General features: G+C 38.2%; 1 protein-coding gene across 22 annotated transcripts in view; it reads left to right on the top strand.

The window, feature by feature from the left end:
- The window catches only part of RGS7 (regulator of G protein signaling 7), a 582,489-nt gene that overhangs the window by 474,088 nt on the left and 81,342 nt on the right, over positions 1 to 27,059 (top strand). For 19 of the 22 annotated variants that reach the window (NM_001374806.1, NM_001374811.1, NM_001374814.1 and 16 more), the window contains 3 exons: positions 13,024 to 13,088; positions 14,291 to 14,367; positions 14,475 to 14,556. The exons of 1 other annotated variant lie outside the window; for it this stretch is intronic. In NM_001374806.1, the coding sequence (NP_001361735.1) occupies positions 13,024 to 13,088; positions 14,291 to 14,367; positions 14,475 to 14,556 (224 nt within the window). Of the gene's footprint in view, positions 1 to 13,023; positions 13,089 to 14,290; positions 14,378 to 14,474; positions 14,557 to 27,059 lie in introns of all 22 variants that reach the window. 2 more of the 22 variants (NM_001374809.1, NM_001374810.1) reach the window with 1 other exon arrangement.

Here is a 27,059-nt window from a genome sequence, read left to right as displayed (position 1 = left end):
AACGATAGACTGGATTAAGAAAATGTGGCACATACACACCATGGAATACTATGCAGCCATAAAAAATGATGAGTTCATGTCCTTTGTAGGGACATGGATGAAACTGGAAACCATCATTCTCAGCAAACTGTTGCAAGGACAAAAAACCAAACACCACATGTTCTCACTCATAGGTGGGAATTGAACAATGAGAGCACATGGACACAGGAAGGGGAACATCAGACACCGGTGACATTGTTATATTTAAAACGAAAGGGTAAATTAAATGGCTCTATTTTGTTTCATCAGCAATTTCCGCAGTGAGAGTAAGGGTAACATACAATCTGTAATGTAGTTTAGGGATGAATGCAGAGGGAGCTGAATTCAATCAGTAAACCTTTAGAATGACAATAACAGTTCTTAAAGGAGAAGCCATATTCTCAGAAATGAAAAAAAATGGACCCCAAGAAAAATGGACACTTCAAAGAACAGAAGCATATTTCTCCCTTTTCAGCACTGAGAGCCAGAGTGGAATTGTCTCCTTCATTGCCACTGCCTTCACGTTTTGTGTGTCGTATCTGTTTTGTGATCACTGAGACCCAAGAACCCCCGACTTGCCGACATACTATGTGGCCCCGAGAGAGGACTTGAGCTCTCTGGGTTTCATCATTACCATCAATTAAATAAACAGGACAGTAGCTTCTTCCTTGGATTGTTAATTTAAGGCTCTGGATAATACATGTAACCGCCTTATGATAGAGCAGAATTGTAAGTAGGCTCATGGTAGAATCGTTCAATGACATTTCCCTTTCCTTTGGGAGAAACAGAAATTCACAGGTCTAATTCTTTTCCTATTAATAGTTCCTGGCCATTATTCCAGAACTGTCCTAAAGGAATTCTTTCTCCTTAAGGACACCACCTCCCAGGAGGGTATTTAAAGATTTGCACAGGCCGGGCACGGTGGCTCATGCTTGTAATCCCAGCAGTTTGGGAGGCCAAGGCGGGTGGATCACTTGTGCTCAGGGGTTCAAGACCGGCCTGGCCAACATGGTGAAACCCTATCTCTACTAAAAACACAAAAGTTAGCTGGGCCTGGCTATGCATGCCTGTAATTCCAGCTACTCGGGAGGCTGAGGCTGGAGAATAGCTTGAACCAGGGAGGTGGAGATAACAGTGAGCTGAGATGCCACTATGACACTCCAGCCTGGGTGACAGAGCAAGACTCTCTCTCAAAAAAAAAAAAAGATTTTTATAGTCCAGTATTCAACGTTCATAGTACACCTTTCTTATCCTAGTAAATCTTCTTTTATCAAGGTATATGATCCCATATAGTAGTTAACTCTTACTCTTACTTTATGACAACACAGTCTTTATTACTATGTATCAGAAAATTAAATAATTAAAAACAAATTTTATAATATTATTGCTAGTTGTTTTTATTAAGATTCAATTTCCCTTGCACTTAATAAATGTTTCAGTTGCTGTTGAGTCATAAATTTTAAAAATAAAATTCTCCAAATTATTCTTTAACTTTTCATTCTTATAAGTGCATTGCTAATGTCTAAATCTTTAAATTAATGCTAGATTTTAAAGTACTCTACTAACAGTAAATTTAAAATACCTTTATTTGAAGAATTATTTTGAAAACCCTGCTTTTTTTTATTATTATACTTTAAGTTCTAGGGTACATGTGCACAACGTGCAGGTTTGTTTCATATGTATACATGTGCCATGTTGGTTTGCTGCACCCATTAACTCGTCATTTACATTAGGTATTTCTCCTAATACTATCCTTCCCCTAGCCCCCCACCCCACGACAGGCCCCCCGTGTGTGATGTTCCCCTCCCTGTGTCCAAGTGTTCTCATTGTTCAATTCCCACCTATGAGTGAGAACATGCTGTGTTTGGTTTTCTGACCTTGCGATAGTTTGCTCAGAATGATGATTTCCAGCTTCATCCATGTCCCTACAAAGGACATGAACTCATCCTTTTTTATGGCTGCATCATATTCCATGAAAATGCTGTTTTTAAAGAACATAATTATCTTTTTCTTTAGCATGAAAATAAGAATAATTGCAGTATGTGTTTTTTTAAATCCAAAAATCACTGTGGTTCTAAATATATGTGTATTCAGCATAAATATAATTACAAAATATATTTGAGTCTTGGGGTTGATGTTACAAGTAACAATTGGCTAATACACCATACTTTCCAGAAGTTTACCAAAATTTTTCCCTCCCTCTTCCTGCAAAGAATAAAAAGAAAGCAAAACCAGAGGAAAAGGAATTATTAGCACAGAGTGGAAATTAGAATGGTACCACACACTACTCATTTGAAAAATTAACATTTTTCTGGAATCAATAAAATTTAGCCAAATGGAAGGGACATGGTGGTGTCAGACTTTCTCGAGAAATTAGCATTGGATGGAATTCTGACCAACCCCAGTAGGAATTCCCCATATTGATGCATGAGGGCTGGAAATAAGTGGGTCCTGGGAGGGCAGAAAGGCTTTCCCCATCTTGGAGCAAGGTTTCTTAGGCATGAGCGTGGCACCAGAGGAGAAAGCTTTGTCCGTGACCTCAGTTTATAGAGCAGCACAGGCTCTCTCAGACACTGGGGAGCAAGCTCGAGGGTAGAGGGGAGACACTGGGAGGAGAGCAATGCAGTGGCCTTGAAGGATTGCTGCAGTGGCTGGTCAACAGCCGTGATGGGAAACCCAAGATTAATAGCATTAGTCTCTATTTGAACTTCACCAGTGTAGCAGCCTCACTTATAAATGAGCAAGCAAACTCCAAAGACCAGAAATAAGAGTAACTTAACACAGGGCCAGGAGCGATGGCCCACGCCTGAATCCCAGCACTGTGGGAGGCCAGAGCGGGAGAACTGCTGGAGCCCGGGACTTCAAGATCAACCTGGGCAATATGGGGAGACCCCATCTCTACAAAAAATTTAAAATTAGCCAGGCATGGTGGCATGTGCCTGTGAGTCTCAGCTATTCAGGAGGCTGAGGCAGGAGGATTACTTAAGCCCAGGAGGTCAAGGCTATGGTGAACAATGGTTGTACCACTGCACTCCAGTCTGGGTGACAGAGGGAGGCCCTGTCTCAAATAGAATAATAAAATAAGATAGGAAGTGCCCAATTTTGGAGCATCTGAGATTTGATAAAATAATTTCAGCAAATATAGACTTTTTAAAAAAACCACTGTTCCAAGACAAAATTTTCAGCCTTAATTTTCCAAGACACCAGCTTTCTCTGCATGCCCTGCAGAATCTAAATAATTGTGATAAAAATATTTTCTGAATGGAATGTGAATGCTATAATTATTTTTTAAAACTATGACAGAGTTTATGATAAATTCTAGTAATTAAAAAAGTTGGAAAGACTGGAGGGAGTGAAGATATGCTAATTTCTCCATCATTTATGGAGGGAAGCAATAATAAGCAGTGTTCAGTTTCTGAGATTAAAATTCAAGAAATACATATTTAAGCATTTGTACAAAGATATGAGCATGGCCACTAACGGAGTGGTAACAAGTTTTGTCACTTTCCAGTTATAAACGTAGGAATGAAAGAAAACTCACTCCATCTAACAAAAGGTAGAAAACAAAAGAAATACCATCAGAGAGAGGGAGAGTGATGAAGACTTGAGAAAAGGAATACAAACAGCTTTCAAAAATGAATGGGGATTTTTAAATTCATCTGTAAAAAGAACAAGTATCTTTAGATTAGATCCTAAATAAAATCTACAAATATCTTTCCAGAGGAAAGAGAAGTAAGACACACTGACTCGTTTAAAATAAATGGTGAGGCAAAGATATACCAGGCAAATACATGTAGAAAATAAAATTTGAACTTGCAATATTGGTCAAGTAAAAAATAATCCAAGGTAAAAAGTATTAAATTGAGCCACATTAGTGAAGGGGACAATCGATTCGTAGACATTTTTGAAATTAAAATCTGTGATATGAAAACTGTTGGAGATACAAGAAAACAGACACAGAAATCTACTGAAAGGGTTAGACTTTAATGCACCTCTCTCAAGCCGGATTGGCAAAAATTCAAGTCTGGAATGAAGGTAGGAATATTTGTACATTACTGGACAAGTATTATGGGACAATTTTGGCAGTGTCATAAAATTCAAACTGTGCCTATCGCCACAACCCTTTGATACCATTTCTAGGAATATATGCTTAGAGAAACTTTCACTGGATTGTTCTTTGTAATAGAAAAAGGAAAAAATAAAAAGAAAAAAAACTTGTGTATTTAGTAATAGGGATATGACTAATCAATGTGAGCTACATTCATAGGATAGACTACAGCAGTTAAGGGAAATAAGCTACATCTATTGAAAACAGCCTGGGTAAATCTCAGTAATGTTATTTTAAGTGAAAAAAAGCAGATTGCAGACCATGTACTGTTGATCCTCTGTGTGTGTGTGTGTATACACCAAATCAGTATTCTCTTAAGTATGCTGAATATTTTCTGCATTGTTTAGTAAACTTTTCCCCCAAAACCTGGGGAAAAAACATATTTCCTCATATATACCTAACATTAGTTTTTATCTCTAATGTATTAATGGGCCTTAAGTCTAATTTAAAAATGTTAAATACCCAATAGAAAAATCAGCAAATTATAGTTAATTAGTTAATTCATCAAAGCAAAAAAAAAAAAAAAAGAAAGAAAAAAGAAAAGAAAGAAAAGAAAACACAAAACCTCGAATGAACACTAGGCAAATGTTTTCACTCCCCAACTATGTTTTGAGCATCTACTATGTGCCAGGTACTCTTCTAGCCATGCGGATTGATTGGTGAACAGAATAGGCAAACCTCTGTCCTGGTGGAGGTGACATTCTGGTGGGTCGGTGGAGGGAAGAAGAATAGGGGGAGAAAAACTAAGAAGTTAACTACATAAATGAATGCATAAGTTGTACATTAGGACATGAAAAGTTGTGTGGAGAAAAACTGGGAAAGGGGCTTGGTGGAGAAGGGGGAAGATATTCTGGAGAGAATTCAGTTCAGCTCTGGGGTAGGGCTCTCCAGAGACGGAAAGGAGAGAAGACATAGGGGACATCTGGTGTGAGGCTCAGGCAGGGTGGAAGGTGAATGGGAGATAAATCCAGAGGGTCACTTAATGGGGCAGTAAGGACTGTGGCTTTTCCTAGAGAGAGATGAGATGGGAAGTAGTAGATAAAAGGGAGGGTTTTGAGTACACTGACTATCTGACTTATGTCTTAACAGAATAACTCTGATGGCTTTGCTGAAAATAGACTCTCCAGAGTTGAAAAGCATCTGATATATGCTCATGTCTAAACTTTCTGAAATTTGGTTATAAAGATCACAGGTCTTGAAAGGTGCATGGGCCCTGACTCAGCAATAACCCTTTCAGGAAACTGGCAATTTCAAAAACAAATAAAGATGCATACATAAAGACACATATATATACATGCGTGTATGTTCACACAACTGTTAGCATATAATAGCAAAATAATAGCTATCACCCAAATGTCCAATAATAAGAACTCATTAAAATAAATTACATTACATCTCAGCACTGGATTACCATGAAATAATTTTTTAAAAAATATTATAGACCAGCACTTATTGATATGAAAAGTTAGCCACAACAGACTATTAAAGAAGAAAGTTTATAATACAGCATGTGTGGTACAGTTTTGAGCACACTTAAAATAAATATATGCATATAGATTTTGTATATAAACAGATATTCATATGTGTATTAGCAGATGTATATATAAAAGAAAATCAAACTATATACCAAATAATGACAGAAATGGTATTATAATGATTTTTTACTTTATATATTTTTTCTGTATATATTTTACTTTATATATTTATATAAATACTTTACATATATAAATATATAAATACTTTAGACATATATATTTACTGTATATTTTTTACTTTATATATTTTTCTGGACTTTTACAATGAGGAGGAATTAAGGGTTTTACAAATCAAGTTATTTCAGCTTTTTAGGTAGAACAATTTGTACACATCATTTTGAATGATGATCTAGTATCTTGTTGAACAGATATTCATGATTTTCTTGCAATTTCCTTTGTGTTTCCATATTTAATATAGTGTATTCTTAGCCCTCTAGCTTTCCTGTTATTCCCTTGGGTAATAGTCCTAGAAAAGCAAGTCCTAGAATTATGGCCATGAATTTTTTGGGGGTTTTTTGGAAACAAAGTCTCATTCAACTGTTGCCCAGGCTGGAGTGCAGTGGCCTGATCTCGGCTCACTGCAACCTCTGCCTCCTGGGTTTAAGCAATTCTCCTGCTTCAGCCTCCCAAGGAGCTGGGATTACAGGTGTGCACCACCAAGCCCAGCTAATTTTTTGTATTTTAGTAGAGATTGGGTTTCACCATGTTATCCAGGCTGGTCTTAAACTCCTGAGCTCAAGCAATCTGCCTGCCTCAGCTCCCAAAATGCTAGGATTACAGGTGTGAGCCACTACACCCAGCCTATGGCCATGAATGTTTTAAGGCTTTATTACTCACTCTCACGTCCTTTCCAAGGAGACTTTCCCCTGTTTATTTGCCCACCAGCAGCTCTCTTTCACTCTTCTTTTGCCAGAATGGATTATTCCCCTTTAAACTCTCTGCTGTTTTGCTGAGTGGAAAATGGTTTCTGTAACAGGATGTTAACATGGAAACCCAGCCAAAGTGTTAAGTGGGTCAAGATCAGGTGTAAAGGGGCTGTGTTCCACTAACATATGCATGATCCCAGTAATTGCTTTCTGCTCACATCAAGGGTCTAAGGGCAAGGCATTGTCTTGAAGACCGAGTCTGGAATCCATAGGATGTTGGGAGCCATTGCTTCCACCAGCCCTGAGTGGATGGAGCCAGGGGTGACCGCGCCTTATCTCACTCCTGATAAGAGACTTCAAGGGGCTGCTGAGAGTGCTAGATGAGAGTCACGCACCCCTGGGAACACAATAGGCCACAGACTTGTAGGCCATGGGATTCTGAAGGGCAAGAGGCAGGCTGTCTAGCTATGGGTGGAAGAGTTGAAAGGGAGGTGGCTCTGTTCTGCAGCCTTCTATTAAGGCAAAAAATAAAATGTGTGAATGTTTCTCTTAGGCATCATCTAAACCCTGTGTGAGACAGTCCTGTCCTACATGGCAGACTGGAGGGGCAAACAGCATCATAGAGAGAGGCTAAAGGTACCGTAAAAATCATAAGGAGCTTTAAACTTTTGCCAAGTCTAGAGAGTGGCAAGCTAGATCACCCTGGTGGTATCAATGAAGCAGGAAGACGAATAAGCCAATTAAATAATGAGCAAGAAACCTAAATAGACATTTTTCAAAAGAAGACCTACAAATGGCCAACAGGTATGTGAAAAGGTGGTCCCCGTCACTAATCATCAGGGAAATGCAAATCAGAACCACAGTGAGATATTGCCTCACACTTGTAAGAATGGCTTTGATTGAAAAGATGAAAGGTAACAAGCGTTGGGGAGAATGTGGAGAAAAGAGAACCCTGATACACTGTTGCTGGTGGGAATGTAAATTAGTACGGCCATTATGGAAAACTGTACAGAAGTTCCTCAAATAATGAACCTAGAACTACCATAGGATCCAGCAATTCCAATTCTGGGGATCTACCCAAAGAAAATAAAATCAGTATTTGGAAGTGATACCTGAACTTCCACGTTCATTACAACATTATTCACAATAGCCAAGATACAGAATCAACCTAAGTGTCCAGCAACAGGCGAATGGGTAAAGAAAATGTGGGATAGATACACAATGAAATACTATTCAGCCTTTAAAAATACAAAAAATCTTGTATTTGCAGCAACATGATGCGCCTGGAGGACATTATGTTAAGTGAAATAAGTCAGGCACTGAAACACAAATACTGCGTGATGTCACTCGTGTGGAATCTGAAAAAAGTTTATCTCATAGAAGCAAAAAGTAGAATGGTGATTACCAGGGCCTGGGGGCAGTGGGGGCAGATATTGGTTAAAGAGCGCAAAGTTTCAGTTAGAGGACTAAGTTCTGGAAGACTGTTGTATAGCGGGATGATGATAGTTACCATTAATACTTGAAAATTGCCAAGAGAGTAGTTTTTTGTTTTTTGTTTTTTGTTTTTTGTTTTGAGATGGAGTTTCGCTCTTGTCACCCAGGCTGGAGTGCAATGGTGGGATCTCAGCTCACTGCAACCCCCGCCTCCCGGGTTCAAGCAATTCTCCTGCCTCAGCCTCCCGAGTAGCTGAGATTACAGGCACCCGCCACAACACGCAGCTAAATTTTGGTATTTTTAGTAGAGATAGGGTTTCACCATATTGGCCAGGTTGGTCTCGAGCTCCTGAGCTCAAGTGATCTGCCCACCTCAGCCTCCCAAACTGCTGAGATTACAGGCATGATCCACTGCACCCGGCCGAGAGTAGATTTTCAAAGTTCTCATCACAAAAAGTGGTAAGAATGTGAAGTGACGGAAATGTTAATTAGCTTGATTTAGTCATAGCAAAGCGTATAACCTATATTAAAACATCACGTAGCACAATATAAATATATGCAATTTCTCATTTATCAACTAAAATATTTTAAAAATTTTTAATGTTAAAATAATAAAGGAAAGCTCCTGTGAAGCACATATTTATTTTTGTTACATACCAGATTTAATTTTTTATCTCAGCAATAAAATTCAAAATCTCCATCAAATATAATAAAGTTCTATTCCAATGAAAAATGTAATAAAAATGTCAGTCTTCCCCTTTCCTCTCCTACACTCCAGCCCCAGGAGGATCAGAGGCCTCAGTTCATGGTTCTTGGTGAGAGTCACAAAAGGGAGTTGGGGAGGGGAGAAAGAAGCCACTCACACTTCTTCTCACCCACAATTTGCATGATTATTTGATCATTACTTGAGATGAACATTCTCATTAATAACTTGGTACCCTTTTGTTTTGTTTTGTTTATAAACAGCAAACGTTTATTTCTCACAATGCTGGAGGTTGAGAAGTCCAGGATTAAAGTGCCAACTGATTTGATGTCTGGGGAGGGCCCACTTTCTGGTTCATAGTCGGCACTGTCTTGCTGTGTCCCCACATGGTAGAAGGGTGAACCACCTCCTTCGAGTCTATTAATAAAAGCACTAATCTCATTAAGGAAGGTTCCATCCTCATGACCCAATCATCTCTCAAATAACTTGGGACTCTTTGAATTACTCAAGCATGAGAAGGAAGATTGTACAAACTGCCTGACTGTTTAAAATTCAGGAACAAGAGAAGAATTAGCCACAAACTAAACATTAAAAGAGAAAAAAAAAAGAATAGCATGACAATGTAAGTTAATTTGCATTACCTGGGTTGTAAGCTGGGTAATTTTAAAATATTTATTGGACTTTTGTAGTTCTAGTCTTGGTGAATGATATATTCCTACTCTTTCCACATTTTGATACTGGGGTCTTAGTGATTTTCTCGCTGACCTGTGTGATGTGCTTTCATACCTTTGTCATGGGCATCAGTGTTGTCTGAGAGACCACTCCAGCTTCTCTAGAGCTTTATAAATTAAAGGGGAAGACCTGACGTCAGCACTCACTTTCTATTCTGTTTCTACTCAAAGATGGGATCCAGAAACTTTGACTTTTCCATCTAAGTTCTAAGTTGCATTTGGGCCAAAATCTATGCCTTATCTATGGAGCTTTCTTAGCCAGAGTAGCACTTCAGGCCTGCCCAAACTTTCTCCCACTTAGTGGCATAGCCTCCTGTTAAATTACTTGTTTGACCTCCCAAGTCTTCCAAATTGTCTCCTGATGATCTCCCAGAAAACTACTGCAGGGAGATATATTTAAACTTGGTATTGAAATTACATCTTTAATAATAGAAAATATTTTAAATAGAACCCCAAAAATGGCATCATTAGTTGATATTTTCAATATTTCATCACAGCAGGAAATATTCGGGGTTATGTTATAAAAGATTCACTCTTTTGGGTCTGGGCCTAGGTCTATACCTAGCACCATATAGAGCATGTTCAGTGCCAAAATAATTAGGATTGGCACAAAAGCACCTTGCCTTAGCTGAAGTTTTTTGTTTGTTTGTTTTTGTTTTTGTTTTTTTTTAGACGGAGTCTTGCTCTGTCACCCAGGCTGGAGTGCAGTGGCATGATCTTGGCTCACTGCAACCTCTGTCTCCTGGGTTCATGTGATTCTCCTGACTCAGCTTCCCCAGTAGCTGGGACTACAGGCGCCTGCCACCATGCTTGGCTAATTTTTTTGTATTTTTAGTAGAGACGAGGTTTCAGCATCTTGGCCACACTGGTCTTGAACTCCTGACCTTGTGATCCACCCATCTCGGCCTCCCAACCTGCTGGGATTACAGGCATGAGCCAATGTGCCCAGCCTGAGCTGTAGTTTTGACTATGCATGAGTGCATTCATTTTGTCAGTCTTCAATGAATTGGGAAATTTCCTGAATTGGAATCATCTTTGATCTACTTGGACCTTCTGCCTCATCCACATCTTGACCAATGCTGATACTCTCTGCTAATAAAGAATAAAAAGTATTATCTGTACCTGTCATCATACAGCAACTGTGTCTGGACTAGACTGATGAGGTCTGGGCCTATCCGGTCAAGAGCATATTTGCTGTATCTTCAACAGTTACCAGATTATTCTGTACACTGCTAACTCAGACTTGTACCTTTTGCCTCTTTCTTTCTTATTTTATTTTATTTTTTTAAGAGACAGAGTCTTGCTCTGTTGCCCAGTCTGGAGTGCAGTGGTGCAATCATAGCTCACTGCAGCCTCAAACTACTAGTCTCAAATGATCCTCCTTCCTCAGCCTCCCAAGTGTAGCTAAGACCACAGAAATAAGCCACCATGCCCTGCTTCCTGTCTTTCTTTATACCAAAGAATCAAGTAGACATTTAGGGAGATTTTATCACTTAAGTTGATTTGACCTCGAAATAGCTCCTTCTGAAGATATCCTATTCATTCATTTGTTAATTCACTCATTCAACAAATATTTGTGATACCAATATTTTATGCCTGGCACTGTCTGCCCGCACCTTCATTTTTTTCCCTAGAGAATTAAAGAAAAATCACATCATAGGACACCTGTATTACAAGATACATAATGTCTTTGTGAGCAGTCATGTAAAAAATAAAATCATCCCACTCTTGCTTTAAGGCATTAGGGTACCTAATGGTGAGAAACATTTCCCCAAAGGGAGCTGATTTTGCAAATAATAAAGATTAGATGGGCAAAACCAATAAAGCAAGGAGAAGCTGATGCAGGAGGACACAGGAGGTGTGACTGATGGAGGGCATAGCTGGGGCTTGAAATTTCATCAGAGGTAATTCCACAGGAAAGCTGAAATTATTCAATTAGATATTTAAGAAAATTTGATCTTTCTCTCATGAAGAGACACCCTCAGGGGTATTTCACTTACGCTTCAATTTCTTTTACAACTGCTTAGAACATTTTAGATATTTTATTCAAGTCACAGTGGCGTCTATAGTAAGAGATCCTTCGGGAGTGAGCATCAGTTATGATGAATTAGGAAATGAACACATCATGTCACTTTTGTTTATGAAGTCTGACTTTTAAAAATTACTAATATTAGTAGAACAATAAAATTATTATGGTAGATTGTACAAAGATGTGTTCTAATACTATATACTGGGTTCTTAGCATTTGTAGGAATGTCAGCATCATTCTGTGGTTGGCTCTCTCCTTCGTCTTGACTTTCATACAGGAAACCTTACAGAAATTGAGTAAATAGTATTCCTGTTTGCACCGGTCTTAAATTTTCTGTGTAGTGTGTTTCCTTAGTGATACCAGCTGGACGTCGTTATCCAAAACTTGGGGTGGTAAGTGTAGTGCAAAGGTGATATTTCCAAGGCAAACTCACAGAGGTAGACTTACAATAAGTAATATTTGACAGTCCTCATCCAATGCATTTACTCAGCATCTAGAACAGATACAATGTATCTTGAGTTTCATGAGACTCAAATATCATGCATATTTAGTGAAAAACAATGACAAAAATGTTCTGGCAATTGGGACTCTACCAGAGGGCTGTGAATGCCTTGAGTTTGTCATGAGAGTCACTGGAATACCCTGAAATAATTGAAGAAATTTGCTCAATTGCAACACTGCTGTCACCACCTTCTCCTATAAATCTGCTGCCCAGATGGACTTTCCATGGTAGCCCAGGCCATCGACTCCTCAGGAAAATGGAAATACTGTGGAAGGTAGGTAAGATGTGATACCCTTCTCCTAGTGACAAAACGATGGAAGATTGGCTCTTGTGAAATGAAGCCAAGAAGATGCAAGAAGTCTTCAGTGTACATGAACAGATTGTTTCAGTTGACAGTAGAATCTGGACATCGTTGAATGTGCCACTAATTCATAATTTCCTTTTCACAAAATGATTTTATTTGGATATATAGATTTTTAAGTTCATTTGGTGACCCTTTTAGGAGGTTTTGTTTTCTCCTCTTATTTGTTGAAGATGCTAAAAACTGTGATGACCATTTAATAAAAATTTTTAAATGATTATGTCTCATGCCTATAATCTCAGCACTTTGAGAGGCCGAGGTGGAAGGATCACTTGAGCCCAGGAGTTCAAGACCAGCCTGGGCAACAAAGCGAGAAGCTGCTCTACAAATAATAATAATAACGATAAAATTAGCTAGGCTTGGTGGCTCACGCCTATAGTCCCAGCTACTCGGGAGGCTGAGGCGAAAGGATCAATTGAGCCTAGGAGTGTGTGGCTGCAGTGAACAAGGATCTTACCACTACACTTGCTTCAGCCAGGGTGACAGAGTAAGACCATCTCTGAAAAAAAAAAGTTACCAAGTTTCTTAGCATATTTATTTTATTAGGGTATCATAAATACTATGATGCTTGAATTTCAGTAATAATGTTATTACATAATTATTTTTTGTCTAAGAAAATGATCAAAAATTACAACTTGGGAAAAAAGTGCAATGCCCTTGATTTGTAATGTTGTACTTTTACTTATAGTGCCATGGTGTTGATAAGCAGGCAAGAAATGATTGATTTTTTTTTCAGCCGTTTACCTCTGCAAGAGAACAATGCAAAACAAGGCACGACTGGAGCTCGCAGACTATGAGGCTGTAAGTACCAAGGACCTTCTGGCAAAGATAGTCATAGAATGCACAGCAGTAAGGCCCACAGCCTTTTCTGGGCAGGATGTTAACTCTTCATTCATGGATCTTTTTCTTTTTTTTGAGATGGAGTTTCACTCTTGTCACCCAGGCTAGAGTGCAGTGGCACGATCTTGGCTCACTGCAACCTCTGCCTCCCAGGTTCAAGTGATTCTCCTGCTTCAGCCTCTGGAGTAGCTGGGATTATAGGCGTGCACCACCACGCCCAGATAATTTTTGTATTTTTAGTAGAGACTGGGTTTCGTCATGTTGGCCAGGCTGGTCTTGAACTCCTGACCTCAGGTGATCTACCCGCCTCAGCCTCCTAAAGTGTTGGGATTACAGGCACGAGCCACCACGCCCAGCCTCATTCATGGATCTGAAGGGTCAGATTTCTAGGGATCTGGCATCACAGTGGGTGCATGAATCCCTGTTTGCTTACTTCCTCTCTTCATTCACATTGCATATGGCAAAACTCTAAATACATAAACTCAAAGTATAAAAGGGAAGCATATCTTATTTTCTAAAATCGACTTAACTGTCGAAATGTCAGATACATCCTACATAGTGAAGATATCCAAACTCTGAGGATTAAAGACCATTTACCCTGGGAAAGAGTGGGTTTTGCCAAAATTGTCTCTGCTGACAGTGATCTTCAGCAGATAAAAGTCATCTGCTGTCATTTGTGCAGATGGTTGCTATGTTAGATTTTCTGAATTCAAAGCACTGTGTAGGAATAGGTTGTGGGCCGCCAGGGTGTGCCATGTATTGTCAGGAACTGAATAGGCTGATTGCATGCGTAGTAGGAATGTACTGATGTTCTGTTCCTCTATAAAGTGGGTACCGAAAAATCCAGTGGGTTCATCTGAGCACCTCCTTATGTACTAGGTAATTTTAGTATTTTTCAGATACATATTGGGTTTGTAGTCCTGTTCTCCAAAGTCAGTAATTCAAAAAATCGATATTTGTAACAGGTTTTTCTGCTTCCTTTAAGACTGCCAATATGAAGATGAGCTGAATTCAGGGAGCATGACTTATCATTGAGAACCACAGTACACTTAGGGCTTTAGAAACTCTCTATTTGTTTCCTTGACAAATACAAGTGGTAACTAAGCTAGAAGAGAGCAGTGACAATGAACACCAAATGTCTTCACCTGGGGTATGTTTTTCAGGAGAGCCTGGCCAGGCTGCAGAGAGCATTTGCCCGGAAGTGGGAGTTCATTTTCATGCAAGCAGAAGCACAAGCAAAGTGAGTCCTTGTGAGTCGTTTGGAAGATTTGTTCCAGTTGTGGCCTTTTTGTTCAGAGAGGCACTACAATTAATACTAAATGTTATCTATTGTTACTGTGTTGACAGAGTGGACAAGAAGAGAGACAAGATTGAAAGGAAGATCCTTGACAGCCAAGAGAGAGCGTTCTGGGACGTGCACAGGCCCGTGGTAAGCAAGCGTCGCACTCTCGTCTTGAATCCATCTTCTCCGTCTGTGGGAAGTGAGGGGTGCCCTGCCAAAGTAAGTGAAAGACTGTAGTGACCCCATGCACGCTCCATGGTATCTTGGTGAATTCATTAAGAAAAGATCACCACTTTTGTGTAGGATGACTAGACCTCAATAGCATCGTATTTAATTTATAAAACCATGCATTTTCCCACCATGATATCGCTTGCTTACTCTCTTGCTATTTGAAGGTATCTGATGCTTCTGTATACATTTGAAAGAAAAACTACTGCAACAAAACAGTTTTTCATGTTTTATTGTTTACATTTTTCTGGCTTCATAGTACAAGTGTTATTCCTGCCCTGATTTTCCTTCCCTCCCTTCGTTCCTTCGTTCCTTCCTTCCTTCCTTCGTCCTTCCCTCCCTCCGTCCTTTCTTTCTTTCTTTCTTTCTTTCTTTCTTTCTTTCTTTCCTTTTCTTTTCTTTCTTTTTCTTTTCTTTCTTTTTCTTTCTTTCTTTTCTCTTCTTTTCTTTCTTTCTTTCTTTCTTTTCTCTTCTTTTCTTTTCTTTCTTTCTCTCTCTCTCTTTTTTTATGGGATCTGGCTCTGTGGCCCAGGCTGGAGTACAGTGGCATGATCTTGGCTCACTGTAACCTCTGCCTCCCAGTTCAAGCCGTCCTCCCACCTCAGCCTCCCAAGTATCTGGGACAACAGGCATGTGCCACCAAGCCTGGCTAATTTTTTGTATTTTTGATAGAGATGGAGTTTTGCCATGGTGCCCAGGCTGGTCTTGAACTCCGGAGCTCAAGCAGTCTGTCTGCCTCAGCCTCCCAAAGTTCTGGGATTGCAGGCATGAGCCACCGTGCCCAGCCTGATTTTCTTTCTTAAAACCTATTAGTAGCCTGCTTTGGTTGTTGACTTTCACAGACTTTCATTTCCTGTGGCTCAAATTCAAATCAGCTCACACTTTTAATGACATAACATTGGATCTCTAATAACTTAGCTGGCTTTCTTCCTTATTAATGTTAAACTACGTGCCTCAGAGTAATATTAATGAATATCCTTAATTAATACCAGAAAACTTTATGGATGAAATTAAACAGTGGTTACCAGCAACTATAAGACAACCTCGTATATTTCCTTCTATTTTGATGCTGTATCATTTTCTTCTGTAGATTTATTTAAATACAGACAAGGCAGTAGAGAATAATATTTATATAAGTATTATTAGAATAAATAATAGGTTCATAGCATGAAAGACAAATCAAGATTGATAAGAATACCTTACAATTTTCTCCCAACTACCTTCAGAGTCAGACCAAAATAGAAAGTCTCCAAAGGTTTGTTTATATATGTACATATTTCAGCTTCAGATAGCAATGTAATTGTTAAATGCTATATTGAATTTGTTCTCTCTTTTGAATTCTGGAAAGATTCAAAGAGAATCAACTGAGAATTAACTGGCTTTGCTACTGAAAATTCAGTGTGAGTTTTATTGTTCATGAAGAAAAAGGATTATGAGGTCAGGTGCATAGCTATTGCAAGGACATTAAGTAGGATTTTTATTTTTTTTGTTTGTTTTAAGCAACCTCTAGAAACCAGTCAATGTGTTATGTTCCTGTGCTTATCCACTTTGTCCCCTGGACATCTGGTGGCTCATCTCTAGCCTCGTTTAGCTTCCATGACCTGGATCCTCCTGGCAACCCAAAAGGACTCACACCATGCCAGCTCCCCTGCACTGCCCACGTCTATTTCATGCTCTGAGACTCTCATGCTCACAGAGATGACACATGATCCCACCTCAAACACTCCCCTGCTCCATTGCCTTAGCCCTTTGTGTGCCTCTGTTGGAGGCAGAATCTGATCAAAGTTGTCTTTCCCTCTATCCAGTGCAAGTCGGGCGCTAGTCTTTCGTGTCTCCCACCAGCAAGGAGCACATATGAGTGTTATCCAAGAGGCCTCCACCACATCCTTCACTAGGCTTCCAACTAGAAAGTCATCCCAAGGAGGATCTGGAGGCAGAAACCACCCAGAAGCCACTGGCTCCATCTCCCTTGTTGAACTTTTTTTTTTTTTTTTTGAGACGGAGTCTCGCTCTGTTGCCCAGGCTGGAGTGCAGTGGCTCAATCTCAGCTCACTGCAAGCTCCGCCTCCCGGGTTCAGGCCATTCTCCTGCCTCAGCCTCCTGAGTAGCTGGGACTACAGGTGCCCACCGCCATGCCTGGCTAATTTTTTGTATTTTTAGTAGAGACGGGGTTTCACCGTGTTAGCAAGGATGATCTCGATCTCCTGACCTCGTGATCCACGCGCCTCAGCCTCCCAAAGTGCTGGGATTACAGGCGTGAGCAACCGCGCCCGGCCATCATCCCTTATTTTCTAGAGGAAAATAGAGCTTCGGGTTGTCATGAGCCTCTGAGAATGGCGTTCGCCTAAAACCAATCCTACCTTCAACCATTTCTTTTTCTTAACATTATAACTTCCTGTATTACTTTAGAGGTAATCCCTCTTGGCATTTTAAAAATTTAAACATTTTGAAGTGATCTCAGGCACTTGCGAAATGCTGACACTTGTCCAAAGGCTGTGTCTGCCATACAGGTACTGGTGTTTATCTTGTTTTTAGTCTTTTGGGTCCTTACTGTGAGTTAATAGACAAAGATGATGATGACAGGGACATTAACAGAAAGGTTCTCCTAAGAGAGCTCCTATGTTATTTTCTCAGCCAAACACATAAGCTCTATCTCTATTTGCTGGCTGTAGTGTTAGCTAAGCAATGACAAGAACTTTCTAAGGTAACTAGGCCCCCTCAAGAAAAAGTGGCATAGGGGAAAACAGCAATATTGTGATAATTTCTAAGAATGTCTACACTTTTACATTTGTCCCTAGAAATGAATTCTGCAGTTGTCATAATCAATCCTAATATATTTAGACCCTAAATCCTATATCCCAGAGTTAAAGTGAATAGGTATTTCTATAGCTCAGTTTCTTCTTCATAGTCTGTCCTGACTGTGGCTGTAATGAAAGACTCTTTGTACCTTGTAGTATTCACTGTAAAATTTAAGTGTCTTCTAGACAGGATCTGTGAAGCTAGGAAGCTAGGTCTTCCATGTTAACACCAAATTATTGCCTCCTGAGCAACGTAGAATCCCAGACCACGTGTAGGAAAATACCAGAGAGTATCTCAAACTGTCCAGAGGCTTAATCTGGTATGGCCTGGGGCCTGATATTGCATACCGCCCCTCACCAGAAGATGTCCATATCTAAGAGACTGTCCTATTGTGTACACTTCCAGTTTTTATTATGTCAGCCAACAACCAGTAAAAAAGGGAATAGGGAGACCTGGGGCAGAGTGGGAAGCAGGTGGGCTTTGGAATCAGATAGACATGAGTCCATTATTTACGAGGCCCACCTTGCACAGTGATTTGCCCTTTCTAAGATTCAGCAGTCTTACTTATAAAATGGAAATATATCTACCTACCTTGCAGTGTTAGTTGAACATTAAATGAGATTATATGGGTAAAAGCAGCTAGCAGATCACTTTAGCATCTCACTTGACAGGTGAAAGACAATAAATTTTCAGCTTTCTTCGTGAAAAGAAACAGAGAGTAGCAAAAAAAAAGGAAAAAGCAAAAAAAAAATGGAATATGGAAACAGATAATGCAAATGCAGCTCCTGTACTTCATGGTTTTAATGACATCTATGAATCTCACAGAGGACAATCAAGGAGCATCACAACCTTTGTCTTCAGTTCTGAGGTCCCAACCAGAATAACTCTGAAGACCACTCCCATAGCCATCTCTTTTTTCCTCCAGCCTTATCATTCCACTCTTCCATTTAGGGATAACTTGCATGAAATAGTCTGACCTTGACTTAAGGCTGATGTGGTCACCATGGTGTTAATGCTAATCTATGACCCCTCTCTCTTAGTACCCTTTATTTTTGAACTCTTTTATTTCCTGTATGCTTGCATTTTTATTTAAGCCTTTATTCTGGAATGTGGGATCTGTCCTCTAGGTGCAGGAACGCAAGACTTAGAACAAAGCAGCCTTTCTTTGTCTTTATCAACCTGTTTACCTGAAATAAGTCAGACTGTTGACTTTCCTCTTCAAAGGGATGGTTCCTTTACCCACCTATGAAACTTTTTGAACTGTTTGGGGAATACTTTTATCCCCAACATTTTTGTTATTTAAATATGTAAGTCCTGGAGCCATCTGCCAATGCAATGACTAAAACATGTTTCCTTCAAAAGTTGAATCTGAAACTCGTGAAACAGGGCGTTGCCACCCTTCCATAATATGGAACATGGATCATGGGATACATGTGGATATAATATAGAAAGGTATCATGTAATGATACCTTTTATTCTATATCAGTATGTGCCAGATATTATACTAAGGCCAGTCATAAAGAGTGGACTAAAACACACTCCTTGATTCCTAAAACTCGTAGTCCAGTGTCGCATTTTATGAACATAGTCATTAACACAGCAGGATGAGTATGACTGCACCATTTGTTTTCTGAAGGGAGATACAGATGCTCATGTTGTTTATAGGACGTACTCAGGTTCAGAGCTAGCGGTGGGAGAGCCAGGCCTGGAACTAGGGGGTGGTGTGGGTCCAGGCAGGTAAGTAGCTCCAGCAAGAATGAGATCCTGACTTTATGTATCTATCCTGCAAAAAGAAAGAATAAATAGAATGCAATAGTCCGCAGAGGATATAGCTGTATTTATAGGTGTCTTATTATATTTTACTCATGGTTTTCATATGTCCTTTTGCTTTTGAAAAAATAGCTGTATTTATAGGTGTCTTGTTGTATTTTAAAATGGTATTTTAAAACGGTTTTCACATATCCTTTTGCTGTTTTTAAAAGTCCAGAGTTCAGGGCATTTTTCATATATTATAGACCACACACCCCTGACCTAGGGGAATCCAACTAACATGTGTAGAATACCCCTGCCAGGGATGTTTATACAATATACACCCTAGAGGGCTATTGCCAACAGGGCTGCCTGATAAGTCCTATCTTCAATATTTAGATATGATAATATTGTGTAACAACCTACATACGTTATTATTTCAAAAAGGATCTACATTTTTATTTTTATTTATTTATGTTTTTTAAAACAGAATCTCACGTTGTCGCCCAGGCTGGAGTGCAGTGGTGCGATCTTACCTCACTGCAACCTCCACCTCCCCGGTTCAAGCAATTCTCCTGCCTCAGCCTCCTGAATGGCTGGAATTACAGGCGCATGCCACCACGCCCAGCTAATTTTTTGTATTTTTAGTAGAGACGGGGTTTCACCATGTTGGCCAGGCTGGTCTCAAACTCCAGGCCTCAAGTGATCCTCCCGCCTCAGCCTCCCAAAGTGCTGGGATTATAGGCATGAGCCACCGTGCCCGGCCTAAAATTTTTAAAATATATAAACTATATTTAAGCCTGGGCGACATAGTGAGATTCCATCTCTACAAAACATTAGCCAGGTATGATGGTGCATGCCTATAATCCTAGCTACTCAGGAGGCTGAGGCTAAGAGGATTCCTTGCGGCCAGGAGTTCGAGGTTGCAGTGAGCTATATCATGCCACTGCACTCCAGCCTAGGTAGCAGAGTGAAACCCTGTCTCTAAAATACACACACAAACACACACACACACACACACACACACACACATATTTAGTTTACAGAAATTATTCGTAAAAAAAAAGAGATAAGAAAGTAGGGTCTTATTTTTGTTATGGTTTTTCAGAAGGTTAATTGAAAAACTATGAAGCAATCACTATCAATTTTAAAAGTCTTGAGATTGATATTCCCATTAGAATAAAAAGCTTAAATATCACAGATCTGTGACACGATCTAACTGAAAGACTTTTAAGTTATGTCATTATATTTTCCTGAATCGATTTGCCTTCATAAATATATAAAGTATCTTTATTTTCAAAAGCCAGAAATGGAGTTATCCTAACAGCATTTTTGTTGAATGTTTTTCATTTTGTTTTCCCTTTCACAGTTCTGCTATTACACCTTTCAATAAAAAAAAACCAGGTAACACCTGATCCTTCTAAAGCTTTTAATTCAAGTAAAGGTGATATGCTACCTTGCCTTTTGAATACTTTTATTTGATCCGATTTGACACGAGCATTTATTATTCCAACCTCAAGAATGGATTGGAAGCCATTAGCCAGAAATGTAGTGAGGAAAGGGAAATTTGAAATAACAGTTCAGAATCTTTAAAATATACTTAAAGTCAATTTAATGTAAAATATGATATATTATGTGCATTTTACCTAGAGTGTAGAAAATATACATAATATGATTTTTTACCTTTCAAAAAACCATGAGGTCACTTTTAGGTCGGATTGACACAGAATAATCATTCTAGTACTTAATATCTCTATAAAATAAAGTTAGCCTCCTAAGTATGTCAACATTTACTCCAGAAAAAAAAATTAAGGTCATAACACTAAAAAGGACTCTTAACTTACTAAGGACTCCAGACAGAATTGCCAGAAACTAACTACTGAAGAATATAGTGGGAGAAATACACCAAATTGTAGGATGACAAAGATAATATAGTATTTGGGTTGACTTGTGTATTTAATGTTTCAATAATTTAATGAAGCCCCACACATATACACACACAAAGAATAATGCGTTAGTAGCTTGTATTAACAGGATTTTAACATCTAGCTAAATTGCAGTGAAACTTCTACTTGTCAAAGTGCTGAAGAAACTCAATTTTAGCATTTTGTGCCCAATCCTCTGCACCATACTTTAAAAAGAATGTGGATGAGCTGGAGTTAAGAGGTGAATGGATGGACGGTAAGGAGGCAAACTAAAAAAAAGCAAGAACAAAAAAAAATTGTGAAATTATTAATAAGATTAGTGACCCTAGGAATGAGAATTCCCATGGAAAGTGTCTTCCTATTTTGAAATGTTATTAAACAGAGTTGGAATAAAGTTTATTGGTTTACCACACATTGGGTTCTGTATGACTACTATGAAAATGACTGGAAAATAAAATATCAATATAAAAGCTTCCTAATACTCAAAGCTATCTAAAGGTCATTGCCAACTTCTAATGATGCAAATGATAAATTCAAGTAGATTAGAAGTCATGAGCCAGAAACAGAATGGAGAAAAGGCAATCACTGGATAGAAAATGAGATTCATAATTTTAGAGTTCTTTCCAGCACTGAAGCAATAAGAATTAGATCACCTTCTTTGCTTCCCCAGTCTATTAGTTTAGGGTTGAATGCATGCCAAGCATTCAACAAAGACGTCACGGATAAAAATGCTTAAGCAGAGAAATGGAAATGTACTTCATCAGAATGTTCAATATAGAAACAATAATCATTGAATTCTTCCTGACTTCAATTTAAGCAAATCCTAATCACAAAGTAGTGAGAATAGTTGATTTATTTATGCTTTTTAAAACCAATATATAATCAGCATTTTGTAGCATTTTCGTTGACCCTGACCAGATCACTTGTTTTAACATCTGTCAGACCATGATCTCTTGAAGAGCAGAAAGTCTGTCTTCAATTCCCTATCCTAAACCTAACATTTTGTAGCATACAACTTAATGCAAAATATTGAGTCTGAGTAGTTGAGAAAATGGTGGACATATGAAATTTACAAAGGATTTTGCTAAGGGTTCGTAGCAGATTTGGAACAGTGAGTTTGTTTTAGGGCATGCTGAGTGTGATGACATGACATTCAGATGGAGCGAGATCTTGTCAATAGTTGTAGACATGAGACCAAAATTTGAGGGATGTTTTGGGATATAGAATTGATTCTGAAACTCATTAAGCTAAAGGTAATAGTTAAACCCTGATACAAGGTCAGTTTGTTAGAGGAAGGCATAGAGAGTGAAAGAGGATTTGTTATTCATTTGGAAGGTCTCTTGTCTTTCTTCTATCTTGCCTGTAGTCCCATAAATGTCCCTACGTATCTATTTTTCTTCAAATAAATTTGTATAGAATAGCCTGGCGAAGCAAGCGTGTGTGTGCCTGTGTGTGTACAAATCCATTAAAATATGAAGTTAAATGTTAACAGTGATCAAAAGAAAGCTGGAGTAGCTAGATTAATTTCAGACAAAGCCAACATCAGAGCAAGGAAAATTATCAGAGATAAAGAGGAATATTACATAATGATAAAAAGATCAATTCTTCATAAAGACATAATAATATTTGATGTCTATGCATTTAACAACAGAACATCAAAGTATGAGGCAAACACTGAAAGAAGTACAAGGAGAAATGGATAAATACGCTATTTTATTTTGAGACTGTAATACCCCTCTATCAGTAATTTACAGTTCAAGCAGGCAGAAAATCAGTAAGGAACTAAGAACAAGGTTTAACTGAAGTTCACCGTCAATCAACTGGATCTAACTGACATCTATAGAATACTTAATACAACAGCAGCAGAATACACGTTCTTCTCAAGCTTCCATGGAGCACTCACTAGAAGAGATTGCACTCTGTGTCAAAAAACACACCTTAACAAATTTAGAATAGAAATCACACAAAGTATGTTCTCAGACCAAAATGATATAAAACTAGAAATCAGAACAGCTAGAATATCTCAAAATACTAGTAGATTAAACAACACACTTCTAAATAACACATGGGTCATAGAAGCAGTCTCAAGAGAAATATAAAAATATTTCAAACTAGCTTAAAATAAAAATATGCTTTATCAAAATTTTTAGGATCCAGTGAAAGCAGTGCTTAGAGAGAAATTTATAGCATTGAGTACATGTACTAGAAGAAAGAAAGATCTAAAATTAGTAATCTAAACTTCCACATTTGGAAACTAGGAATAGGAGAACAAGTTAAATCCAAAGTAAGTAGAAGAGAAGAAATGATAAAAATTAAAGCAGGTATCAATGAGAATGGCAAGAGAATATAGAGAAAATCAATAAAATCAAAACTTTTTTTGGAAAAAACCAGTAAAGTCAATAATCCTCTAGCCAGGTTAACTAAGGAATAAAGGGAGAAGACACAAATTACTAATATCAGAAATATAAAAGGGTCTATATCTACTGATTCTGTGACACTAAAAGCATAATAATGAAATATTCTAAACAACTCTATGCCCAGAAATTTGAAGGCCTAGATGAAATGGACCAAAAGAAAAAAAAAAAAAAAAAACAGGAAAGAAAGAAAGAAAAACACAATGTACTAAAACTTACCAAGAAAATAGATAATATATATGGGCCTATATATATTAATGAGAAGGCCTACATCTTAACATCTATTATTAAAGATTAACCTATTCAATTAAAGAAATTAGGCCAGGAGTGATGGCTCATGCCTGTAATCCCAGCACTTTGGGAGGCCGAGACAGGAGGATCAGTTGAGCCCAGTTGTTCAAGACCAGTCTGGGCAACACAGCAAGACCCTGTCTCAAAAATTTAAAAAACAGTAAATTAAATGAAGAAATTGAATCAATAATTAATAACCTTCTAAGACAGGAAGCACCAGCCCAGATGGGTTCACTGATGAATTCTAGCAAAGAGGGACAAATTATATCAATTCTTTACAATCTTTTCCAGAAAATAGCAGAGTGGCTACCTCCTAACTCATTCTATGAGGCTAGCATTACCCCAATACCCAAAGCAAACAAAGTCATTGCAAGGAAGGAAAACTACACACCAATGTCTCTCATGAACAAAGATGCAAAAATCCTCAACAAAATATTAGGATATCATGTCCAGCGTTGTACAAGAAGAATTTTACACCACAGTGAAGTGGGAATTATTCCAGGTATTCAAGACTGGTTCAACATTTGAAAATCAATTGATATAATTGATTACTTCTACAGGCTAAAAAGAAAAAAATCATATATCCATATTATAAAGACTAATGAATTAGACTTCATTAAAATTAAAATCTTTTACTCTATAAAAGATGTTATGAGAATTCAAGCCACAGACTGGGACAATATTAGCAAAACAACTGATATTTTGGACTGGTATTCAAAATATACAAATAACTCTTAAAACTCAACAATAGTAATAAAACAGCCAATTAAAAATGGACAAAGGATCTGAACAGACACTGCACCAAAAAACATACACAGAGGGCAAAAAGATGCTCAACATCACGTCATTAGGGCTAAATTAAAACAACAATTGCATACCACTGCACACCTATTAGCATGACTAAAATCCAAAACACTAGCAACATCCAATGCTGGTGAGGATGTGGAACATCAGGAACTCTCATTCTCTGCTGGTGGAAATGCAAAATGGTACAGCTACTTTGAAAGACAATTTGGGAGTTTCCTATAAAACTAAATGAATTGTTACTATACAATATAGCATTCCCACTCCTTCGTATTTACCCAAATGAATAGGAAAGTTCTGTTCACACAAAAACCTACAAATGTTTATGGCAACTTTATTCATAATTGCCAAACCATGGAAACAATCAAGATGTCCTTCAAAAAATAACTATGGTATATTCATACAATGGAAGGTGTATTAGTTCATTCTCATGCTGCTAATAAAGACATACCCAAGACTGGGTAATTTATAAAAGAAACAGGTTTAATTGACTCAGTTCAGCATGGTTGGGGAGGTCTCAGGAAACTTACAATCATGGCAGAAGGGGAAGCAAACATGTCCTTGTTCACATGGTGGTAGCACGGAGAAGGGCAGAACAAAGCGGGAGAAGCCCCTTATAAAACCGTCAGATCTCCTGAGAACTCACTCACTATCATGAGAACAACGTGGGGGTAACCACCCCCATGATTCAATTACCTCCCACCAGGTCCCTCCCACAACACATGGGGATTACGGGAACTACAATTCAGATGAGATTTGGGCAGGGACACAGCCAAACCATATCAGAATGTTTTTCAATGATAGAATGGGATGAGCTATCAAGCCACAAAAAGACATGGAAGGACTTTAAATGCATCGTACAAATGAAAGAAACCAGTCTTAGAAGGCCAGTTATCATATGATTCCAACTCTATGACATTGTGGAAAAGGCAAAACCACAGAGACAGGAAAAAGATGAAGGGTTGAAGGGAAAGCAGGGATGATGAAGAGGAAGAGCACAGATTTTTAGGACAGTGAAAATATTTTGTAAGATACCTTAATGGTGGATACATATTGTTATACATTTATCACAGCCTATACAGTGTATGTAGCACCAAGAGTGAACCCCAATGCAAGCTCTGGACTTTAATTACTATTAATGTATCAATATTGGCTCAACAACTGAAACAATGTACCACATCAATATAAGATGTTAATAATACAGGGGACTTTGGGGTGGGATGAGGGGACATACGGGAATTCTCTGTTCTCTGTACTCAATTTTCTGTAAACCTAAACTACTCAAAAATAAAGTCCATGACATAACAAAAAAAAATAGAGATATAACTTTTTTACAAAGTGAAACAGAGGGCACATCATAGGAGAGTATAATGAACTCAACAAAATATCCGACCACAAGAACAAAACAGCGTCATGTGGTGATATCAGCAGATAAAGTGAATTTTACTTGCCTAACATCAGGTCCACCTATATAGAAAAGCTGATGGTTGTTCCACTGTGTGTCTTTGTATGCCATATAGACAAGACCTTGAAGTAAAATACAAAGCCCATGTATTGGTTCTCTACTTTACTCAGTGTGCTTGGCTTTGTTTGTCTTATTTGGTAGATTCATTCTTGACATGATCAATGTGATTTAAAAAGAAGCAGAGTCCCACAAAAATGACTCAGATATTTTTTCTCTGAAAAATCACACTAATCATAAGAGAAATATTTTTCTCCTTATGATTATTGTGAGAAATCCTGCCATTGATTTCTCCTGGATGAGAATTGATACATGCAAAATATTTCTTCAGAGAATGCTAAAAATTCAAAATTATCTTTTGAAGGATTAGTTGCACCACGGTTGTATGGACACCCCACATGTTGTTCTGAGGCATGATTGTATATTAATTGTGTACTTTAAACAAACAAGTATATGATAAAATATCGTTATTCCTGTGGAATACATTTTTCTAACTATACTATTCATACAATAGTTTGGCAAGAAAAAAAGGAATAAGAGAAGTAAAGTGGTACATTTCTTTGATTTTCACTGAAAAAAATCTGTGCATTACACAGTTGATTCATTCATTTAGTATGTCTTTCAACCAACATTTATAGTTTCCCACACTAAAGGCTAAAGAGAAGAGGATGAAAAATACTGCCCCAGTGACTGAGATACTCAGAGTCCAGAATAAGTAGAACGGGGGTGTAAATGAATAATTATTATGCAAATACTATAATGAGATCTATAGTAGAGCTATGAATATAGCTGTTTTGAAACAGAGGTTTACGTTGAGCTAATGTTAGGATCTAGAGAACTTTTCACGCATAAAGACAGCAGAATAAATCACAAAATAAGCGGGCTAATACATTTTATTAAAAACTTGATTTTGTGTTTAAAAATATAATTGAAAGGCATAGAGATAATCTGAAAATACTTGGAGCAAGATAAATAAAT

Source organism: Homo sapiens, chromosome 1, assembly GCF_000001405.40.
Source record: "Homo sapiens chromosome 1, GRCh38.p14 Primary Assembly".
NCBI classification, from domain to species: domain Eukaryota; kingdom Metazoa; phylum Chordata; class Mammalia; order Primates; family Hominidae; genus Homo; species Homo sapiens.
The sequence above is the reverse complement of the archived record's forward strand: the minus strand, read 5'-3'. Positions and strand labels throughout refer to the sequence as shown.